The 10,647-nt window shown below is 40.3% G+C and overlaps 2 annotated features.

The window, feature by feature from the left end:
• Nucleotides 3,625-3,863: a silencer, noted in NCBI's record as "fragment chr11:27264164-27264402 (GRCh37/hg19 assembly coordinates)". NCBI's record gives its function as "represses an EF-1alpha promoter that drives an FKBP-Casp9 reporter gene in an ReSE screen in K562 erythroleukemia cells {active_cell/tissue: K562}" and the evidence as "EXISTENCE:reporter gene assay evidence [ECO:0000049][PMID:32094911]".
• Nucleotides 9,239-9,995: an enhancer, noted in NCBI's record as "H3K27ac-H3K4me1 hESC enhancer chr11:27269778-27270534 (GRCh37/hg19 assembly coordinates)". NCBI's record gives its function as "activates a minimal SCP1, AML or CMV promoter by ChIP-STARR-seq in naive H9 embryonic stem cells {active_cell/tissue: H9 hESC(naive)}" and the evidence as "EXISTENCE:reporter gene assay evidence [ECO:0000049][PMID:30033119]".

Consider the following 10,647-nt stretch of genomic DNA (forward strand, 5'->3'; position numbering starts at 1 on the left):
ATTGCACCATTAGCCTTTATTCCTTGTATTATTATTGGCATTTTTCCATGCAAATGTCTGGGCTTCCCAACCAGAGTAAAAGGGTCATACACTCTGCTATAACTTTTCATGCTTGTAACAGACATGCAACATATTAATTGAACTACTGATACTTGTTTTTAAAAAAAACTAGCTAACAAAAAATTGATCTCTCTCCATCATAAATTCATACTTTTTCTTTACCATCCCAACTCATATACACCCTCCCCATCATGCCTACTCTATGACATAGAAAAAGAACTCTCATATCAATGCTTTCTCTTTGCTTTCTTTCCAAACCCTTTTGAGTAAGGACACTGCCCTTTCCCGTTACCCTCTCCCCAGAAGGCAAACACGAATCTCCTGGCAGCTGCTCCATTTATCCCTCTTGAGGCAGACACCGCCTTTCATTGTTATTTCAGTTGATCCAGTTGTGAATAAGGCATCAGATGCACTTTCTCTGAACATTCAACCTCTGATCGCTAAATAGCAAGAGGTTTGGATGATGTCTCTGGCAAGAATCCTTTCCCATCTGCTTCTAGTTCGGGGCCGACCTTTGACAGCCCTCCATCCATGACTCTAAGTGGTGTGGAAAGTGCTGTGGTCTCTGGCAAGTTGATTTGGTCCAAGGGAGCCGTTTATTTTTCCTAGCAAGACTGAGGAGGGATTTTGTGTCTCAGCATCATGTAGACTAAAGCTTATCACCAATTTCTCCAGAACAGATGTGTCTTCTTTTGACATAGGGAAGTTCTGTTATCAGATGCAAAAGGCCTTTTGAATTATGTTTTTGCTCTAAGGAAACAACAGTAGTTTTTAAAGATAGAAGCAACCAACATCTCCACATCTCCCTGGAGGACATCATGAAAAGATGTGTCCCATCCTCACCATTTCCTCATCCCACTCCCTTTAGTTAAAGCCAGTACTTATTATCTAGAAAACAAAAATCACTTCCTAATTGTTCTACCTGCCTCCTTTGTTGCCCTTGCCATCCATCTTCTACTTGCTACCAGACTGATCCTTTTGAAGTCTAAGCATGACTACCACCCTTGCTCAAATACCTGTAATAGTTCTGCATTGTTTATAAGAGAAAGTACATGTTTCTTAGCAAGCATACAAGGTTCTCCATAATTCCCCACTAGCTATTCAGCCTCAAACCCTTCTCCCTTACCTTCTCATACCCTCTCTACCACTCTAACCACAGTGATGCTCTCTGGCCTCTTAGCTAAGAGTGGCAAACTCAGGTGCCTACAAGGACCAAGCCAATGATAACAAGTGTGAGAACTGGAGGAGATGAAACAGTAGGAACTAGTAGAGTCTGTGAATTGAGTTATCTCATTTTTTTTTAGAGAAATTAGGCCAAACCAGGCATAAACATGGTTTATATTTGGCCCATGGTGACAGATGAAGACTCTCACTCCAGGTTTTCACTCATGCTAAAATCCGAGTGCCTAAAAAGGCCTCCTGTGTCCCTCACCACTGCTACTCCTTCACCTAGCTCATTATTTATCTCACAGAGCTCGGTTCCAATGCCATCTCCCCAAAAATCTTCCTGGTATTCATTCTGGGTTAGTTGTCCTCCTCCAGCTCTCAAAGCTATCTCTGGCCCCTTTGTGACAGCAGTAGCCACACTGTTACTTGCCTGACACCATGGCTTACCTGACTCCTTAATAGACCAGGACTTCCTTGCTGAAAGTGAATGTCTTACTCTCCCTGAGTAAGTACACAGAGTAAATGCTTATAGCAGACATATGTTTTGTCTATACAGGACCTCTTCTTCCCTATTCATGGAAATAGCAGCTGCTACTATCCTTTAAGGAACTGTCCTTTCTCTGCTCCTTGTGGTTTAGGTAAAGCTACTCAACCAGAGGACTCCATCGCTATCCTAGGGGAGGGCATATGACCCAAGATAGACCAATCAATTTTTTTTTGTACCCAGGAATGAAGAGGATTCAAAAAGAATAAAAGGCAACTGGAGCTATGTTACCTGGTGGCAGCACTCTAGAAGAGCTACAAGTGCCCTGGTTCCTAGAGTCTATTCTTCTCAATGTTTTGAACCAGTGAGTGTTTGCTGTGTAACAAATAATCGTAGTATACAATAATATCTATTTGTTTATCTCAAAATTTTAGAGACATGCAATTTGAACTTGGTTAGGCTGGGCATTTCTCTTGTCTTGGAGGGATTCACACATGCATCTACAACTGACTGTTGGTGAACAGGAAACTTGCTGGTCTAGGGTGGCTTCACCTGGGTCTTGCTGTTTTCCAGCATTCTAGCCTGAGCTTATTCACATGCAGTTGGGCAGATTTCCAAGAAAGAGAATAGAAATACACAAGACCTGTTGAGGCCTACACTCAGACTGGGTATATCACCATTTCCACTGCATTCTATTGGCCAAAGTAAGTTATAGGATCAGCCTAGATTGAAGAGGGTGAAAACTAGGTTCTCCTTCTTGATAGGAGGAGTTGCAAAGTCATGTTCCAAAGGGTGTGGATGCAGAGAGGGTGGAAAAATATGGTCATATCTGCAAACCGTCACAGCTTTGTTATTCAGTTCCCTGTTAATTTTCTACTACATCCCTTTTTAATTTTAAGTTAATCAAAGTCAGCTTCTGTTGTTTGCCATTTAAAAATTATAATGTATAACTGCTTGAGAATGAATGAATGAATGAATGAATGAATGAATGGATGGATGAATGTATTAATGGATGGATCAAACAATCCAAGAGTGAGTGTTGAACAGGGTAATGTAAAAGGGTGACAGACCTTATCATGGGATGAGGAAGATGTGGAATATGCTACATGTTGATTGCCTGTAAGCATCTTAGAAGTTAGGACATCACTTTTCCCCTCCTACTTTTTGACTCACTCTGTAGTCACAGCTACCAATAGCTTGAAATCCCTTTAGGAGCCACACACGAAACAATAAACCATTCACTTGGAACTGCTCTCTTACCACTACTTAAATTTAATTCCAGAGCCTGACTGGGTGTTTGTTTTAAGTGACTATCCTCCTGTGTGTATTAATGTAACCACATATTATACTCTAGATTGGCTTACATATAGGGCATACATTTGTAAGTAAAGGATATTTTGAACAAGAAAAAAGTCTAAAGGCTGAAAGGATCCTATGATATGGTCCAGTATTTCCCAATTCAAGTCCTTCCCACCCCAAACCCCCACCCCACTCCTTTCTGATAAAAGTTTCCAATTCCCTAGGGGCCAATTCTCAGAAGGATGATGGAAAGAAAAAAGCAAGTTATATAATTAAACAAGACTGAAGCATGAATGATTTATGTCTCATGGGCTTCAATTTAGAGGATAACTTATAATTTTGGAGAGATTTCTTAATTCAGAAAAATATTCTGTAAGTAGAATCTTGAGAAATATGAAGGAGACATTTTTATGCAGCTATAGGCAGTTTTGTTGTTTTCTGTGCTGGCAGTGGTGGTGGTGTAAATAATAAAAAAATAGTATCTGGGTATAGATATGACATTGCATTTTTGTGATATGTAGAATATTCGTGCTTTTGGTCCCTAGAATTTTCCAGATGCTAATCATTATGGTAATTTATAACAAAGCAATACTGATGAAAATGGAAAAATTCCTCAAAGTTTTTGCAGCCTTAAACCTGACATTTGTGTTTTATGAAGCACCCTCGAATGAAACAATGCTCCTTTGCTGCCATAAGCACTTCTCACCATGTGCAAACCACAAAACCATCACTCAAAGTGCTGAGATTCACATCTTTGTGGGTGAGACAAGGAGGAGCCATATCTGCTCTTACCATGTCTCAGGCTCAGGACACTTGCCAGGGCAGCCAGATAGGATCACCAGGGCTGAGAAAGATGGTGTGATGTTCCCCTATGTGGGAGGCCTCCCAGGGAGGCAAGTGGTGACCTCACTGGGAAAATGAAAATGGTTCAAGAGAGAACACTTGTCAATAGAGAACACTGCCTGAATTTGAGACCAGTGAAGGGATTCTGTTTCCAACACCCTTTCAAACAAACAAACAAAGCTGTTTTCTATTAATAGTATTAATATATGGGGGAAAGATCCTACAGCCTGCTTCTTGACTGACAGATCATGATTCAGGCAAAAAGGATCTCAACTCCAGCTCTATATAAAGACACAGTCAGGGAATCACCCCTTAAAAGAACCAATTATAAAGTTTTCCTTGTAAAACCAGGGCAGAGATGTGCTCCTAGGAAGGGCAGCTCTTGGGACGACCCAGCCACAAAAGTAACCTCAACTTTTGGCCTCTGATATTTTCCTCCCTTCCTAGGATTTCTTTCATGATAATTCCAATGCCACCTATGGAGATTTAATGTGCCCTTTTCTCTGCTGCTGCAATGCAGATGAAGGAACAAAGGTTACACATTTCAAAAGGACCTCTACCTAAAATGCAAAAACATGATAGGGAGATTAACCAAAAAAAGTCAAAGCAAGCTAGAAGCAGGAGCAAGTTTCTGACTTTTCCATGGTTGACCTTCTAATTCTGTTCTGCTCTGAGCCCTGTTCTAGCCTAAAGAGCTCTCTTTGTGTTCTTAGTCCCCCAGCTCTTGAATGTGTGTGTTTCAAAAGATTGGGAATACCAGCTCTAGTGACAGGCAGTTTGGTGGGGATTTGTTATTCTATCACCATTAACACAAACTTATCACCTTTTCAAGTGATATATATTGAAAATGAGCTTAGCCAGACACATCACAGTGGGGAACATCAGAGAGCTGTCTTTTCTCTGGCTTATAGCAGGTAGACCCATGACCTTGGTTTAATTAGTAAGGGGCTCTGGCTAGCCCTTTCCTCTCTTAATGTTATCTCTTTGCCAATTTTTGTCCTATTCCCAATTATGTATTTTTGTTAGACACCTACACTTCATTTTTTTTTATCAACTCAGTATCAGAAAGTATCTGAAACTTGAAAAGCAATTATGGAATATTTTCCCAGTACAGTACTGGTCTTTATTATATAAGCTATTTTAAAGCTCTCCTGGAACATTTTTGTCCAGTAGAGACGGAAATAATTTCCTTCCCATGGAACAGATAATCTTTTTTTTTTCTTTTCTTTTTTGGAGACGGAATCTCACTCTGTGCCCAACCTGGAGTGCAGTGGTGCAATCTTGGCTCATTGCAACCTCCACCTCCCAGGCACAAGTGATCCTCCTGCCTCAGCCTCCTGAGTAGCTGGGATTACAGATGCATGCCACCATGCCTCAATAATTTTTGTATTTAGAACCAGAGAAATTGAGACAAATTCCTGTTTGGCACAATACAGATATAGATGTTAACAATAGGAATATTAATTGATACATAGGTTAGTATACACACATATATTTCCTTGCTCACTCAGCTGAGGGGGCTAGAAAAATAACACCCCAATAGCAATGGGCACTCTTAGCACCCAGATCTTGGTTTCTAATACCAGTCTCTAATAAAAAGAGCCAGAGCTTCATAGAGAAATGGCTGATTTCAGAATTGGGGCAAGAATTACACAAGATGAGTTTGAATCATCTTGTAGTACCAGAAAACAAGGAGTGAAAAAACTAAATACAAAATGATGGACCTACAGGAGCCAAGTGACGGAGCTCCCAGTGACCAAAGTTAGAACAATTTGAGCAACAGAATAATTAAAGTAGTCTTGAGTTATAAAATTAATATCAATGAGTCTATTTAGATATAAATAAATGATCAATCAATAAATAAGCAGGAGTGATAACACAAATATTACATGTGAAAGAATTCCAAATAATATATTTAGATACTCTGCCCTCAAGGAGGTGGAACATGACTCCTCAGTCCTTAAATGACATTTTTATAAAGATTACAGGATAAGAAAGATGAGAGAGGGAGGAGTGACATTACAGTGGAGAAATATGAAGAATAATTACTTCAGCCAGGGCACATGGTCAACATCAACAGTGATAAATAATGATAATATTTACCTTTCATATGATGTAACAAGAGTGGCACTTTACCTCTGTTGTCTTCCTACCAAACAACCATAACCCCAGTCTTATCATGAGAAAAACATAAGATGAATCTCAATTAAGGGACATTCTACTAAATACCTGTCTAGTACTCCTCAAAACTGTCAAGGTCATCAAAAATAAGGAAAGCTTAAGAAACTGTCACAGACCACAGGAGCCTAAGGAGATATGACAACTAAATGTACATTACATTTGGTAGCCTAGGTGGGATTCTGGAACAGAAAAAGTGCATTAGGTAAAAAAAAAAAAAATAAGAAAATATTTATAAACTATAGAGTTTAGTTAATAATAATGTATCAATATTGGTTTACTAATTGTGACAAATATTCCACAATAATATAAGATAATGTTAGGAATAAGGAAAAATTGATGTGGGGTGTATGGAATTCTCTGTTCTATTTTTGCAGTTTTTGTAAATCAAAAACTACTAAAAAATTTATTTAAATAAATAAGTGCATTAAAAAAACAAATAGAGATACTTTCTGCAAAGTATCTTGTCAGTGCCATGAAAACCTAAGAAAAACTCAGAAACTGTGATATTCTGGATTGGACCACAGAACAAAAAAGATACTAGTGGAAAAACTAATGAAATTCAAATAAAGCCTGTAGTTTAGTTAATAGTATTGTACCAAAACCAATTTCTTAGTTTTGACAAATGTACCACGAAAGTATACAGAAACTGTCAGCACTCTCTTTCCAACTTTTCTGTAAATCTACAATTATTTGGAAATTAAAAGTTTCAAGAAAAATTTTGTCTACATATTATATGATTCCAACTACATAACATTCTAGAAAGGGCAAAAATATGGTGACAGTAAAAAGACAGAGGCTGAGAGGGAAGAGTAATAAACAGGCCAAGCACAGAGGGTACATGTCATCATATACATATACAGAACTAATAGGATAGATATATATATAAAGGGGAGTTTATTAAGGACTATTAACTCACACAATCACAAGGTCCCACATTGGCCGTCTGCAAGCTGAGGAACGAGGAAGCCAGTCCAAGTCCCAAAGCTGAAGAACTTGGAGTCTGATGTTCGAGGGCAGGAAGCATCCAGCACGGGAGAAAGATGTAGGCTGGGAGGCTCAGCCAGTCTACTCTTTTCACGTTTTTCTGCCTGCTTTATATTCTAGCTACACTGGCAGCTGATTAGATGGTGCCCACCCAGATTAAGGGTGGGTCTGCCTTTCCTAGCCCACTGACTCAAATGTTAGTCTTCTTTGGCAACACCCTCACAGACACACCCAGGGTCAATACTTTGCATACTTCAATCCAATCAAGTTGACAGTCAGTATTAACCATCACAATACATTTGTCCAAATCCATGAAATGTACAACACCAAGAATGGACCCTAAGTAAACTTTCCCTAAGTAAACTATGGTTGATTATGATGTGTCATTTTAAGTTCATTAATTGTAACAGTTGTACCACTCTGGAGGGCAATGTTGATAATGAAGGAGGTGATGCATATGTGGGAGCAAATCTCTGTACCTCCCTCTCAAGTTTGCTCTGAATCTAAAACTACCCTAAAAAATGTAATCTAGAAAAAAGTTGATTAAAAAAAAATAGGTGAACCATGAAGAATAACAGATACGTGCAGACTAGAAGCAAGGAATACCACTGTCATTTGCCCATTGGAAATATAAAGTTGGCATCACTGAAATTAACATGTTTTTAAGAAGGAAATGATCACTCAGAGCTTAAGGAAGACTGCCTGAATCATAGCGATCCGCTAATGGGGATGGGGAAGTATAAGAATCCAGATAATACATCCTGTATTAGCATTTGTCTGGGCACAGTTCAAGCAAAAGCTCAAGGAATTCTGCTTTTCTTAGAACTCTTATTGACAAAATACACCTCTCTTAACAATCTCAAAATGAGTTGTCTATCCCAGGCATTGGCTGTTAAAGATAGGGACACAACAGTTAATGAGTTCTCCTTCAATTTTTATCCACTGACTCTTCAGAAGGCCAACCTCTACTGAATAGTCACAAAAAGCAGGGATTCTGTTGGGAGTGGGAAGAGCTTCTGATCCTTGCTTGGCTAAGCTTCTTCTCCAGGGTTTTCCCTAGGTAGCCAGAAAGAGATTTCCTGGAATTATTTATGAGGATACTGGAAGGTCAGCCAGAGTACGCAGTCCTGACAGTCATTCATTCCGCCTCTCTTACTGAAGTAATAATGCCATATATTGCTTCAAAAGAGCTACTCATATACTGAACACCTGGTATGTGCCAACTACGGTGCTAGATGATAGGGAAGAGGGAGTGAACTCAGATAAAAACAATAACACTGATGATGATGATAAATATGCAATAGCATGTGTTTCTAACCAAGCACTACTCTACAAGCAATGATGCATTTAATCCTTACAATAACTCAATGAAATTGAGCTTATTATTTGTATTTTACTGGTGAGGAAACTCATTCTCCCTCCAGGAAGCTAAAAATCATAGTAGCTTATTTAAGGTCAAACGTGAAGCATCAAGGTGTTTAAGAACATGGTCTTTGAAATCCAGCAGACAGAACCAAAGCTTAAATCTGTCTTATTAGCTATGTGACCTTGGACAACAAATTTCACCTCTTTCTCAAGTAGTTAATAAGTAGAGGATAAAATCAGCACAACTTTATTAAGTGCTTTGTTCATTAATATTGTCTGCCACAAGTTTGAGGAAGAAAGGGGCCTCACGCATGCCCAGAATTTGCCAAAATGTGCCAAGTGCCTTAGAGATATGAATTTACTTTATCCTCAAAACACAACAAAAGATAAGATTTTATTATTTTCTCCATTTCACTGATTAGGAAGCAGATGTTCAAAGAAGTTTAATTAACTTCCTGAAGGTCATCCAGCAAGGAAGTGGTCCAGCTGCAATTTAAGTCCAGCTGTGTCAGGTCCTAGTACATTGAATCTAAATCACTCTGCTCTACTCACTCAACATTACAGAAACGCCGTCATGGGCTCAATTCCTTCTAGGTAACATATTTTTCATTTTAGCTGAGGGTCGAACCCGAAAGTTTGTCTGTAAGTGGTATAACTTTTGGGCTGGGGGTGCCTTAATTGGACTGGGTGAAACTTTGCATCACTAATACTGGGATTCTCAGTAGCAGGCATCTTAGAAAGCAGAGAGCCTCCCCTCAGAAGCTATAATGATGCATTTTGAAGAAGAAGAGTGGAGGCAGATGGGAGAGAGAAGAAGGAAGGCACAAGAAGCCTGAAGGCATAGAAAGGAGGTTCTTTTGGATTTGGAAACAAACCTAAAATTGACACAATTAACCGTGGCCCAGCCCCTACCAAGAAGGCAATGCCTTCTGAGTTTTAGAGCAATTTAGGGCAAGGGCAAGGATACTAAATAGACTCCAACCCCTGCACCAACATTGCTTCCTGTTGGTAGCTGCTGAGACAGTTCTAGTAATAAGAAACATGAGGCTTTGCCCAGGCTTAGCTGGAAAAGTTAAAATAAATAAATAAATAAATGCCTCGGCCCATTATTATGATCTGCCACAAGTTTGGGAGCCACTCGCCTGCCCAGAATTTGCCGTTCCTCCTTAGGGGATGTCACAACCTGGACATAGTCTGCAGGAGGAGTTAACTGGTTCAGGTCCAGCCAGGGAGACTCAAAAGTCCCAACAGAACTCTGCTTCCGCCAACCTCACAAACAAAGGCAAAACGGCACTGACAATGAGAAAGGCTCTCATTTGAATTTCTTTGGTTTTAATTATTTTGAAAAGAGAGGCAGGCCACCAATGCCAAGACCCTTTAGGAATAACTAAAAACCAAAGAGATTCAGGCCAGCTGGAGGGGGCAGAGCGGGAAGTTCCAGCCAATTAGCCTTCCTTTGTGACATTGCGGCCCTTCATCCCACCCTCCGGAAGCCTTCATAACACTCATGTGTCAACAGGACCTTAGGGGAGGGGAAATAGCAGTGAGCCAAACCTCAAGAGTGAGGAGAAAAAAAGTAAAATCTGGAATTGCAGCTCCAAACTGGGCCCTTGAACGTTTAGCTGCTATCATTATTTTTTACAGAGCCTTCCCTGGGCTTTTCCTGACCACCGAGGACCAGGCCTCAGGGCTCCAGAGGCCTGGTCTTCCCTCTGCAGCCTTGCTATCGCCTTGCCAAACAGGCTCGTCCCACCCTCTCAAACTCTGCAGTCTTCCACCTCCAGCCTCCCCAAATGGATCAAGCTTTCCATGGCTAGGCTATTAAAGGGAAAGCAGTCCTACTGTTTCCTTTAATGAGCAGCTTTTACTAGGTGCCAAATGCCCTTTAAGGAGCCTAGAAACCCAAAGCAGTCTCCTGGGTTCCAGAAACCCCAGCCTAACCCAGAGTCAGTGGGAGGTAGAGACACAGACCCAGACTTCAGTCAAATTAGTCTCCAGGGAATCTGCTTAATCCGAGCTGTCGGGAGACGTGTGAGATGCTGGAGTTACCATTAACGCTGATCTTAGGCTCTGCTAGATCCTTGCAGGAATAGATCCAATCTCTCCAGGGCACTGGCTCCAGAGAAGGTAGTACAGGAAATCTCTAATGTCTTCTAAGGAAGGTGGAATCTGTTAAGCAGACACGCCTGTTGCTCTGTTGGGCACCTTGATGGATTCATGTGCAAAAAGGTGGGCATGAAGCAGAGTGTGAAATGAGAGAACAC

This window comes from Homo sapiens, chromosome 11 (genome assembly GCF_000001405.40).
Source record: "Homo sapiens chromosome 11, GRCh38.p14 Primary Assembly".
NCBI lineage: Eukaryota > Metazoa > Chordata > Mammalia > Primates > Hominidae > Homo > Homo sapiens.